At 35.2% G+C, this 13,807-nt stretch overlaps 1 annotated feature.

The window, feature by feature from the left end:
• Positions 2,984–3,520: an enhancer, noted in NCBI's record as "NANOG hESC enhancer chr8:36807536-36808072 (GRCh37/hg19 assembly coordinates)". NCBI's record gives its function as "activates a minimal SCP1, AML or CMV promoter by ChIP-STARR-seq in naive and primed H9 embryonic stem cells {active_cell/tissue: H9 hESC(naive and primed)}" and the evidence as "EXISTENCE:reporter gene assay evidence [ECO:0000049][PMID:30033119]".

The following is a 13,807-nucleotide window of genomic DNA, read 5'->3' as shown; positions in this document are numbered from 1 at the left end:
ATGAATTAGCATTTTCACCAGTGTTTCAATCATTTTCCAGCAATGCATAAACCTTAGATATCTTTACCTCCATTTAGCAACTCCTATGCTTTTTTTAAATTTTAAATCTTACAAGATAATTACTATCATTTACCTTAGTCAGTATTAATTTGTATTTATCCATATATTTACCACTTTTTTTGCTTTTCATTCAGTACTGTATTTCCATATTACCATTTATGGTCTCTTCTTTTGATTAAAGAATTCCCTTTGGTGTTTCTTATAGTATAAGTCTGATATAGTATAAGGTGATGAATTATTTCACTTTCTGTATTTCTGGTAATGTTTGTATTTTGCCTTTATTTATAAAGTATATTTTCACTGGGTCTAGGATGCTGGCCGGTTAGTTTTCTTCTTTTTCAAACCTTAAAATGTTTTATTCCACTGACCTATGACTTTCATTGTTTCAATTAAAAAGTCAGCTATAAATTTTATCATAGCTTCGTTGAGGATAATGTGTCTTTTTTGTCTGGATGTCTTTAAGATGTTCTATTTTAGTTTAATACAAAGAAATTATACCATGATGTGTTTAGGAGTTCTTTTTTTTCATGTATGAGGTACAAAAAGATTCTTGAATGCCTGGGTCAATGTCTTCAGTTTAGAGTAATTCTTGGTTAGTATTTCCATAAAATTCTATCCCACTTGCTCTTTCTTTTCTGTCTTTCTGGGGATCTAATTACATTTTAGGCATTTATCACCATGTCTCCTACACATATTTATGCATGTTTTCTTTTTTTCTCTATGCTATACTCTGATTTTATTCTGCTAACATTTTTTCCAGTTCTCTAATTTTACCTCCTTTTTTACCCAAACAACTGTTAAACATGTCTCTTACATTTATAATTTTACCTCTTGTATTTTTAAAATAGTTTTGGGATAAATGATCATTTTCTGGTAAATTTCTCCATCTTGTCATCCAATGTCTTGAACGTGGTAATTAGAGTGACTTTAAAGTCCGTGTCTTATGTATGATATCTAGATTGCCTGTGGGCCATCTCCATTATCTATTTTTTTCTCGGTTTCTGGTTTATTATTATTTTTTTGAGTTTCTCTGTTGCTGCCATTCATGATAATTATTTACCTATTTATTTCTTGCAGGGGTAAAAAAGGAATAAGAGATGGCCAACATTTTTGTAACTCAGAAAAGAAGAAAACAAAGTTTGCTGCCCTACCTAAAGAGTAAATAAAGGCAGAGATAATATTGAGTCTAACCATTTTTCTTGAGTGCTTGATACGGTGTATAAAGAGCATAGAAAAGCTCTGAATAATGTTAACTTCTAGCAGAGAGAATTTATCTTTTTTTTTTTCTTATAGGCAGTTACAGTAGGAATTGATCACCTTCATATAGTCAGGGAACAGGAGACACTGAACTGGATTTCAGATGTTGTGAGAAGTGCTCCATTCCTAGTTTGATGTAATCCTAAAGTAGGGCCTTTTGAGGACCCCAGTGGAAACAAGAGATGGTTTTGGGGGTCTATTCCCCTTTCCAGGATTTGAATGCCAATTTTCATCTTTCTAGCACTATGAGAAGGGCAAAAGCTCTGCTTACCTTTCTAGCTTTTTAGCTAATGCTTTTTTCTTAGGTGCTCACCCTCTCATGCTGAAAATATTGGGAATAAATTTCTCAAGGAGAAAAGCAGCACAGGACCTGCTTTCCAGTTCTTTTCTCCTGAACTGAGTCCCCTCAAAACCTGGCTACCTTGATAGCCCCCTGTCCAGTTGTTTTCTTTCTCCCAGGACCATGAGTCTGCTGAAAACTAGAGCCTTACAGTTCAACCTGATCTCTTGTCCAGTACCACGTACTAACTGAAAGATGCCCTAAGGAAAAAGTGGCAGAAAATGGTGAGCTTACCTCAAAGTTTTTCTTTTTACTTGGATTGTAGCCTTTCAAGGTCTTACTGACTTCGTTGCTCTCTGATTACTTCAAATAGATAATTTTAAAAATGTTTATCTAGTTTTAATTTTTTTCTTGGAGTGAGGGTTGGTCTGCTACAGCTACTCTTTCACAGTCATAATCTAAAATTTGAAAGGATAATGTCATATAAATATCAGAATTGCCAGTTTCTCTTAAAAATTAAAAAAAAAAATCTAGCAACTTTGAGCCTGCATTCTTGCATGACAGCAAAGGCTAGAGGCAAGTAGCTCCTGTCTTTTTCATTTCAGTTATATGCTCTCCAGTATTTTTTTTGTCTGCCTAACTAAGGGATCCCTGAGAGTGAAAAAAGAAGACAGTCCATGATCAAGCTTTGAGTGATTCCAGTACTTAATTATGTTGTAGAAAAGGAGAATCAAAAGTAATGTGAGAATGCACAGCCAGAGAAGTGAAAGAAAAACTAGACGATTGTTATATCATGGAAGTCGAGGGAAGACAGTGTTTCAGGTTGGAGAAGGAGGATCAACTGTACTGAGTCCTGCTAAGGCTTCATTCAAGTCAGGCTAGCACGAAATATTCTAGTATCCTGAGTGACACAAATGTCATTGGTGATCTTAGGAAGAGCATTCTTAGTAGATTTATAGCCAGCTTGGGTGGTTTGAGTAGTGAATCAGAGATGCTGAAATAAAGTACTGAATATAGACAACTAGTTACCAAGTTTGTGACGAGAAGGCAAGAGAAAGGATGGGGGCAGGAGAAAATCGTGTCGTTGAGCAATAAACAGAAGAGTGGTCCTTCTTTACTGCCTCCTTAGCACATAAGCTGGCCTTTCCCATTTTCTTGCCAGATGAAATGCTGCAAAGACATTTTCTTGAAGGCAAAGAAGAGTAAAAGAGCTGGTCAGCATTTCCGTATCTCAGAAAAGGAGGAAGCAAGGCTTGCTGGGCTATCTGGTGGCTAATTTAGGTTGCTAGAGAAAAGAGTAAATTAAGGCAGAAGAAAAGACTGACTCCCACCATCCGCCTGACCTGAGGAGTCACTGCATTTGTATTGTATGAAGTCATCTTTCCTGCCTTTAGAAAAAGCAGCACTCAGAAGACAGCAGCACAGGGGCTGCCTTATTTTTTGTTTTCAAAAACAAGAGGAGGGCTTGGACATTTCCCCGCTAGCTTCAGGGATCTATTAATTGGCTCACCAGTAAAATTACAGAAGCAGCCTGCCTGATAATGATTGTAAATGACAGAGACGATCAGGTTTACCTTGGGACGTCCCCAGGGGACTTGCAGCTAGTTTAGTCTGAACTTAGCATCAGCTGCTCAGGTTCCTTTCTTCTCAGCATGCCGTGGCTGGCCTCATCCTGTAGTCTTTCAAACCTAATTAGTGTTAGGGCCTTTCCTCGCTGGCTCCCTCCCATCCCCAGCAGCCCTTCATTCTTCTCACTGCCTCCTTTCCTTCTCACTGTTCAGAGCGCCCTGTGCATGCAAATCAAGGAACTGACTTGAGATGACTTTCAGAGCTCTGTCTCTTGTGTTTCTTTGGCCTGGAAGAAACAACGCCTAAGTTTTGAGCTGTAAGTTGTTTTTCCTCCAGGAAAATATACATCAACCTCATTGAAGTTTAACCTTCCTTAACTCCTTTATGGTTTGAAGGTATGCAGCTTGAGAATTTTATAATTAATTGGAGGTGTTGGTATATGTCTTAAATAGAAGTTAACATGCCAAATAGCAGAATGTTGGTGGAGGTCGTTTCATTAAAACCAAACCTCCAGATCTTTTTAATTTTTCATAAACTACTGTGTGTGTGTATCTATATCTATATGCATATGCATATTTGTGTATATATATTTGTGTATGTGTGTGTATGTGTACTATATGACACATATATATTGCATACACACATTCACATGTATATGTTACTATAATGGAGGTAGTTTTCATTGAAACCAAACCTCCAGATCTTTTTTTCAGAAACCACTGTGTGTGTGTCTGTATTTATATGTGTATGCATATATGTGTATATATATTGGTATATGTATGTGTGCATGTGTATTATATGACACACATATATTGCATAAATACATGCATATGTATATATCCCTTGAAAATATTACTTTTCAAACTTTAATGTATAAATCATTTATCAATCTTGTTAAAATCCAGATTCTGATTCAATAGGCCAGGGATGGGGCTCGCTTTCAGATAACATAGATGTTGCTGGTTGGGGGACCATATTTTGAACAGCACATCTTAAAGAGATTTTCATGTATTGCCTCCAGCTTCTTCATCTTACCCTACTCTTCAGTTCTGTTCAAATGTTGCTCCAATATTTCTTTAGGCTACTTAAACAAAACAATCATTTGATGGAGGATGTTTTCCCTATTTCTCAAAATAACAAATGGTTAGCTACTGAGTGAAGCAGAGTCTTGATTTGTGTTCTGGTTTCCTGTTCCAGACAAGTTTGTTGGGAAATATGAAGACCGATGCAAAATTCCTTTAGACTTATGTCAGTTTACTCCACCATTCTTTCTCTTATTTACTATAATAAATTGAACGACTAGCTTATTAATTTTTAAGATTTCATCTATTCCTACATATGCATATAAAGTTACAAATTCACTTCTTTCTACTAATTTATATGTATGTAACAATTTATTTTATTGTGGTCAAAAACACATAACATGAAATTTACCACCTTAACGATTTTTAAGTTTACAGTAAAGTATTACTAACTATATGCACACTGTTGTGCAACAGATCTTGGGAACTTTTTCATCTTGCAAAACTAAAACTCTATACCCATTAAACAAACTCCCCTTTACCCTCTACCCCAGCCACTTGCAACCACCATTCTACTCTCTAAGAGTTTGACTTTTGATGCCATATATTAGTGGAATCATGCAGTATTTGTCTTTTTGTAGCTGGTTTCTTTCACTTAGTGTAATATCCTCAAGGTTTGTCTATGTCGTAGCATGGATACAGTATTTTCTTTCTTATTAAGGTTAAATAATATTTCATTGTATGCCTATACCACATTTTCTTTATCCATTCATCTGCTGATGGACATTTAAGTTGCTTTCACTTCTTAGCTATTGTGAATAATGCTGCAATAAGCATGGGCATATGCAATATCCCTTTGAGATACTGTTTTCATTTTTATTGGATAATCAGAAGTGGGACTACTGGATTATATGGTAATTCAAGTTTTAACTTTTTGAAGAACTTCCACACTGTTTTCCATAGTGGCTACAACATTTTACATTGCCACTAACAGTGCACAAGGGTTCCAATTTCTCCATGTCCTTGCTAACACTTGTTATTTTCTGTTTGTTGTTTGCTTGTTTTTTTTAAGACAGGGTCTCACTCTGTTGTGCAGGCTGCAGTGCAGTGGTGCAATCATAGCTCACTGCAGCCTTGATCTGGACTCAAGCAGTCCTCCCACCTCAGCCTCCCAAGTAGCTGGGACCACACCAGGTGCACAGCAGGTGCACACCACCACAGTTGGCTAATTTTTGTTTGTTTGTTTTCTAGAGACAGGGTCTTGCTTTGCTGCCTGGACTAGTCTCAAACTCTTGAGCTCAAGCTATCCTCCCACCTCAGCCTCCCTTAAAATGCTGGGATGAGAGGAGTGAGCCACCTTGCCTGTTGTACAATTCATGGTGTACATAGTGATGTTTCAATACATAAAATGTATAGTGATTAAATTAGGGTAATTAGCCCATCCATCATCTCAAATATTTATCATTTTTTGTGTGTGTTGGGAACATTTAAAGTCCTCTCTTATACATATTTGAAAGTATATAATAATGCACTGTTAACTATAGTCATCCTACAGTGCTATAGAGCAATATAACTTATTCTTTCTATCTAGCTGTCATTTTGTATCCTTAACCAATTCCTTTCTACCCCACTCCCACCCCCTCCTTTTCTCACCCTCTGGTAACCTCTATTCTACTCTTTACTTCCATAAAATCAACTTGTGAAGCTTCTGCATGTGAGTGAGAACATGCGGTATTTTTTTGTTCCTGGTTTATTTCACTTAAAATAATGTCCTCCAGGCTCAATCATGTTGCCATAAATGACATGATTTTATTCTTTTTAAAAAATGGCTGAAGAGTACTTCATTGTTGATATCCATCACGTTTTCTTTACCTGTTCATCTATTGATGGACACTTAGGTTGATACCATATCTTTACTTTTGTGAACAGTGTTGCAAACAACATGGGAGTGCAGCCATCTCTTCAACATACTGATTTCCTTTCCTTTGGATATATAACCAGCAGTGGGATTGCTGGATCATATGGTTCTTGTACTAATTTTCTGAGGAATCTCCATACTGTTCTACATAATAGGTATACTAGTTTATATTCCCACAAACAGCGTATAAGAGGTCCCTTTCTCCCCACACTCACCAGCATTTGTTGTTGTTTTTTATTGTCTTTTTGATAGTAGCCATTCTAAGTGGGTTGAGATGGTATCTCATTGTGGTTTTGATTTACATTTCCCTGATAATTAGTGATGTTGAGCATTTTTTCATATATTTGTTAGCCATTTGCATGTCTTCTTTTAAGAAATGTCTATTTGGATTATTTGCTGTATTTTTAACCTGATGACTTTTTTTTTCTCTTGAGTTTCTTATACATTCTGGATATGAATCTCATGTCAAATAAATAGTTTGCAAATATTTTCTCCCATTCGGTAGGTTATCTTTTCACTGTATTGATTGTTTTCATTGCTGTGCAGACACTTTTAAGTTAGATATAATCTCATTTGTTTATTTTTGCTTTTGTTGCCTGTGCCTTTGAGGTCTTATTTATACAATCATTTTTCATACCAATGTCCTGAAGAATTTATCCTTTGTTATTTTAGTTGTTTTATAGTTTTGGGTCTTACATTTAAGTCGTTACTCCATTTTGAGTTGATTTTTGTATGAGGTAAGAGATAGGAGTCTTGTTTCATTCTTATGCATATAGATATACAGTTTTCTCAGCATCACTTGTTGAAGAGACTGTCCTTTCCCTAATGAATGTTCTTAGTGCCATTGTCAAGAATCAGTAAGCTGTAAATACATGTATTTATTTCTGGGTTATGTATTTCATTTCACTGATCTATGTATCCATTTATTTCTGGGTTATATATTTCATTTCACTAATCTATGTATCCATTTTATACCAATACAATGCTCTTTTGTTTATCATGCATAGCTTTGTAGTATATTTTGAGGTCTGGTAGTATAATGCCTCCAGCTTCGCTCCTTTTGCTCAGGATTGCTTTGGCTATTTGAGAACTTTTGTGGTTCCATACAAATTTTAGAATTGTTTTTGCTATTTCTGTGAAAAATGTCATTGGTATTTTGATAGAGAGTGCATTAAATCCCTAGACTGTTTTGGGTAGTATGATCATTTTAACAAAATGAATTCTCCCAGGTCATGAATGTGGGATTTCCATTTGCTTACATCTTCAGTTTCTTTTATCAGTGTATTATAGTTTTCCTGGTAGACACCTTTCACCTCCTTGGTTAAACTTATTCCTAGGTTTTTCTTTTTTTAGCTATTGTAAATGGGATTTTTTTAAAATTTATTTTTCAACTAGTTTGTTGGTGTGTAAAAACACTACTGATTGTTAATGTTGTTTTTGTGTCCTGTAAATTTACTGAATTTGTTTATCAGTTCTAAGAGTATTTTGCTGGAGTCTTCAGGTTTTTCTATATATATTACTATGTTGTCTGCAAACAGGAACAATTGTATTTCCTATTTTCCAATTTGGATGCTCTTTATTTATTTCTCTTTCCTAATTGCTCTGGCTAGGACCTTTAGTACTATGTTGAATTAGAATGGAGAGAGTGAACATCCTTGTCTTGTCCTAGTTTTTAGAGGAAAAGCTTTGATCTTTTCCCCATTAAATATAATGTTAGCTGTGGGTTTATAATATGTGGCCTTTATTGTGTTCAGGTACATTCTTTCTACACCTAATTTATTGAGAGTTTTTTTGATGAAAGGATCCTGAACTATATCAAATATTTCCTGCATCTATTGAAACGATCATATTGTTTTTGTTCTTCATTCTGTTGATGAGTTATATCACATTTATTGATTTGCATATGTTGAACCATTTTTGCATCCCTGAGGTAAATCTCACTTGATTATCGTGTATAATCTTTTTGACGTGCTGTGGAATTCAATCTGCTAGGGTTTTTTTGAGAATTTTTGCATCTATGTTCATCAGAAATATTGGCCTGTAGTGTTGTTGTTGTGTCTTTATCTGGTGTTAGTATCAGGGTTAAAGTGGCCTTGCAGAATGAATTTGGAAGAATTAGCCTCCCTTCAGTTTTTTGGAATAATTTAAGAAGAATTAGTATTAGCTTTTTAAAAAATGTTTGGTAGAATTCAGAAGTGAAGCCATTGGTCCTGGGTTTTCTCCTTTGGGGACTTTTTTTTTTTTTTTGAGACGGAGTCTCCCTCAGTAGCCCAGGCTGGAGTGCAGTGGCGTGATCCCGGCTCAAGATTCACGCCATTCTCCTGCCTCAGCCTCCCAAGTAGCTGGGACTACAGGCATCTGCCACCACGCCGGGCTAATTTTTTTATTTTTAGTAGAGACGGGGTTTCACTATGCTAGCTAGGATGGTCTTGATCTCCTGACCCCGTGATCCGCCCGCCTCTGCCTCCCAATGTGCTGGGACCACAGGCATGAGCCACTGCACTCGGCCCCTTTGTAGACTTTTTATTGCTGATTCAACCTTATTACTCATTATTGGTCTGTTTCAGTTTTCTATATTTTCTTGGTTCAATCTTGGTAGGTTGTATATATCTGGGAATTTATCCATTTCCTCTAGATTTTCAAATGTTTTGGTCTGTAGTTGTTAGTAATAGCCTCTAGTGATTCTTTCTATTTCTGTTGGTATCAGGTGTAACATTTTTCTTCATTTCTGATTTTATTAATTTGAGTTTTCTCTTTTTTTCTTAGTATAGCTAAAGATTTTTCAAAAAAAATTTCAAAAAATTATTATTATTTTACACTTTTAAGTGCAGGGGGTACATGTGCAGATTTGCTATATAGGTGACTTGCATGTCACTGGGGTTTGGTGTACAAATGATTTTGTTACCCAATAGTGAACATAGTACCCAATATGTAGTTTTCCCACCCTCATCCTCCTTCCACCCTCCCCACTCAAACAGGCTGTGGTGTCTATTGTTCCTATCTCTGTGCCCATGGGTACTCCATGTTTAGCTCCCACTTATAAGTGAGAACACGCAGTACTTTGGTGTTCTGTTCCTAAATTAATTCATTTAGGATAATGGCCATCAACTGCATCCATGTTGCTGCTAAATACATGAGTTTATTCTTTTATGGCTGCATAGTATTCCATGGTGCATATATACATTTTCTTTATCCATCCCACCATTGATGGCATCTACGTTGATTCCGTGTCTTTACTATTGTAAATAGTGTTGCAATAAATATATGAGTTTATGATTTTTTTGGTAGAATGATTTATATTCCGTTGGGCATATAGCCAGTAATGGGATTGCTGGTCGAATAGTAGTTCTCATTTAAGTTCTTTGAGAAATACCCAAACTTATTTCCTTAGTGCCTGAACTAATTTACATTCCCACAGCAGTGCATAAGCATTCCTATTACTCTGCAACCTTGCCAGCATCTGCTATTTTTTGACTTTTTAATAATAGCCATCTGAGTGGTATGAGATGGTATCTCACTGTGGTTTTGATTTGCATTTCTCTAATGATTAGTGATGTTGTGCATTTTTTTCGTATGCTTGTTGTCCACCTGTATGCCTTCTTTGAGAAGTGTCTGTTCATGTTCTTTGCCCATTTTTAAATGGGCTTGTTTTTTTCTTGTTGATTTGTTTCTTATGGATTCTAGATGTTAGGCCTTTGTCTAATACATAGTTTGCAAATGTTTTCTCTTATTATGTAGGCTGTTTATTATGCTGATAATTTCTTTTGCTGTGCAGAAGCTCTTTGGTTTACTTAGGTCCAACTTGTCCATTTTTGTTTTTGCTGCAATTGCTTTTGGGGATTTCGTTCTGAAATCTTTGCCAAAGCCTATGTCTAGAATGGTATTTCCTAGGTTTACTTCCAGGATTTTTATAGTTTCAGGTCTTACATTTAAGTCTTTAATCTGTCTTGCATTGATTTTTTTGCATATGGTAAAATAAGGGGTCCATTATCAATCTTCTGCGTGTGGCAAGCCAGTTATTCTAGCACCATTTATTGAATAGGGAGTCTTTTCCCCATTGCTTGTTATTGTCATCTTTGTTCCAGCTCAGATAGTTGTAGGTGTGCAGCTTTATTTTTTGGCTTTCTATCATTTTTCATTTGTCTATGTGTCTGTTTTTGTACCAGTACCATGCTGTTTTGTTTACAGTAGCCTTGTGGAATAGTATGAAGTCAGGTATGTGATGCCTTTGACTTTGTTCTTTTTATTTAGGATTGCTTTGCTATTCAAGCTCTTTTTGGGTTTCATATTAATTTTAGAATAGTCTTTTCTAAATCTGTGAAAAAAATGATGTTGGTAGTTGAATAAAAATAGCATTGAGTCTGTAAATTGCCCTTGGCAGTATAGCCATTTTAAGAATATTGATTATTCTTATCCGTAAGCATGGAATGATTTTCTATTTGTTAGTGTCATCTATGATTTCTTTCAGCAGTGTTTTGTAATTCTCCCTGTAGAGATCTTTTACCTCCCTGCTTAGCTGCATTCCTAGGTATTTAATCTTTTTGTGGCAGTTGTGAATGGAATTGCATTCTTGATTTGGCTCTCAGCCTAAATATTATTGATGTATAGAAATGCTACTGATTTTTGTAAGTTGATGTTGTATCCTGAAACTTTAATGAAGTTGTTTTTCAGTTCTAGGAGCCTTTGGGCAAATACTATGGGTATTTCTAGTTGTAGTATGATATCATCAGTGAAGAAAGATAGTTTGACTTCCCCTCTTCCTATTTGCATGCCTTTTATTCCTTTCTCTTACCTGATTGCTCTGGCTAGGACTTCCAGTATTATGTTGAATAGGAGTGGTGAGACAGGGCATCCTTGTCTCATTTCAGTTCTCAAGGTGAATTCTTCCAGCTTTTGCCCATTCAATGTGATGTTGGTTGTGTGTTTGTCATAGATGGCTCTTGTAATTTTGAGGTATGTTCCTTTTATACCTAGTTTGTTGAGGGTTTTTAACATGAGGGATGTTAAATTTTATTGAAAGTCTTTTCTTCATCTATTGAGATGATGATGTGGTTTTATTTTATGTTTTGTTTATGTGATGTGATAGTCTCAGTTTTGTTTATTTCTGCTGTGATCTTTATTACTTCTTTCCTTCTCTAGTTTTGGGTTTGGTTTGTTATTGTTTTCTAGTTCCTTGAAGTGCCTTCTTAGGTGGTTTATTTGAAATACTTCTACTTTTCAATGTAGGCATTTATTTATTACTATAAACCTGTCTCTTAATACTGCTTTTTTGTGTCCCATAGGTTTTTGTATGTTGTATTCCTATGTCAATTTGTTTCTAGAAATTTTAAATTTTCTTCTTAATTTCCTCCTTGATTCATTGGTTACTCATAAATATGGTGTTGAATTTTTATGTATTTGTATATTTTTGAATATTCTTGTTAATGATTTCTAGCTTTTTTCCATTGTGGTCAGAAAAAAAATACGTGGTATGATTTTAATTTTTTTTTAATTTTTGAGACTTGTTTTTTCATAACATATAGTTAATTTAGGAGAATATTCCATGTGCTGAGAAATAGAATGTGTATTCTGCAGCTATTGGGTGAAAACTTCTATAAATGTGTTAGGTCAATTTTGCCTATGGTGCACCTTAAATTTGGTGTTTCTTTGTTCATTTTCTGTTTAGATGATCTGTCTAATGCTGAGAATGGGATGTTGAAGTCCCCAACTATTATTGTTCTGGAATGTCTCTCACTCTTTAGATATAATAATATTTGCTTTATATACCTGGGTGCTCTGGTGTTAATGCCTATATATTTTCATTTGTTATATACACTTGCTGAATTGATCCCTTTATTGTTACATAATATTCTTCTTTGTCTCTTTTTACAGTTTTTGATGTAAAGTCTGTTTTATCTGACATAAATGTAGCTACTCCTGCTTGCTTTTTGTACCCATTTGATATTCCAAGGGATATCTTTTTTCATCACTCCACTTTCAGTCTATTTGTGTCCATATGGTGAATTTAGTTCTCATAGGCAGCATATAGTCATGCCTGTTTATTTTTTCAACCCATTTGGCCAGTCTATGTCTTTTAATTGGGAAATCAATTTACATCAAAGTTATTGATAGGGGAGGACTTACTCCTATCATTTTATTGTTTGCTGGTTGTTTTGTATATCCTTTTAAAATTTCCTCCTCTATTATTGTTTTTCATTGTGGTTTGGTGGTTTTTCTGTCACAATAAGATTTGATTCCTTTTTTCTTTTTGTATCTGCTTTACAGGTGAGTTTTAGAATTTTTTTGTGTTTTCATGATGATTGTTATTGCCTTTTTACTTCCAAATGTAGGACTCTCTTAAGTGATTCTTGTAAGACTGGTCCAGTGGTGATAAATTCCCTCAGTCTTTGCCTGTCTGGGAAAGACTACTTCATTTCTGAAGAATAGATTTGCTGGATACAGTGTTCTTGGTTGGCAGATTTATTTTCTTTCAGCACTTTGACTGTATAATCCCATTTTTTTTGACCTGTAAGATTTCTGATGAGAAATCTGCATTAGTCTAATGGAGATTCCTTTATATGTGACTTCACATTTTTATCTTGCTATTTTTAGAATTCTTTGACTAAAGAAAATTTGACTATAACATGCCTCAGAGAGGATCTGTCTGAGTTGAAGGTATTTGGGGATTTTTGTTGTTTCTGGAACAGATGTCCATCTCTCTCCCTAGACTTGGCAAGTTTTCAGCTATTATTTCATTTTGTATGCTTCCTATGACTTTTCCTGTCTATTCTCTTTCTGGAACTCATATAATATGAATATTTGTTTGCTTACTGGTGCCCCATAAATCCTATAGACTTTCTTCATTCTTTTAAGTTCTTTTTTCTTTTTCTTTTACGTCTGTCTGCATTATTTCAAAAGATCTGTCTTCCAGTTCAGAAAGTCTTTCTGTTATTTGGTCTAGTATTTCATAGAAGCTCTGGACATTTTTATTTTATTCATTAAGTTCTTCTGCACTAAGATTTCTGTTTGGTTCTTTCTTATGGTATTTATCTCTGTTGAGTTTCTCATTTAGATCATGGGTATTTTTCCTGATTCATCAAATTGCCTACCTTTATTCTCTTGTGTTTTACCACATGTCTTTAAGATTATCATTTTGATTTCCTTTTGTAGCATTTTGTATATTTCCTTTTATTTGTGATCTGTTCCTAGATAATTATTTTGTTTCCTTGGTAGTGTCATGTTTTCTTGTTTTTTCATGTCATTTCAAGAGTGTTACTCGTTTGGAACTGGATGTTTCTTTATTACATTTTCAGTTTCAAATTTCTGCCACACATGGCATAAATTTGAATATTACATCAGCACATTATATGAGCTTGGGGCTTCAATTTCTCATGATAGGTGTTTTTCATACCCAGATTCCTAAGCAAAGATAAATGTTCTTGGTCCTCTTTTGGCCAGTGGAAGGAGGCTATCTATTGCTTCTTGCTCACATGGGCTGGTCCTTCCCAGCTTAAAGTTATATTGGTTCTCAGTTCCCATCTCATCTTATGGCTCCCCCATGACATCATAATCCCAGCCACTGACTAAACAGTCCTACATATTAGTCCTGTATCTCTCACAGACACCCTCTCTGGCTATGACTTCCCTCCTACTTCTGCCTGGGAGTTTTCTTTCTTTTTAAATAACTACTATAGACCAGGTGTGGTGGCTCATGCCTGTAAT

The sequence above is a fragment of the Homo sapiens genome, chromosome 8, assembly GCF_000001405.40.
Source record: "Homo sapiens chromosome 8, GRCh38.p14 Primary Assembly".
NCBI classification, from domain to species: domain Eukaryota; kingdom Metazoa; phylum Chordata; class Mammalia; order Primates; family Hominidae; genus Homo; species Homo sapiens.
This window is presented reverse-complemented; position numbering and strand designations above follow the sequence as displayed.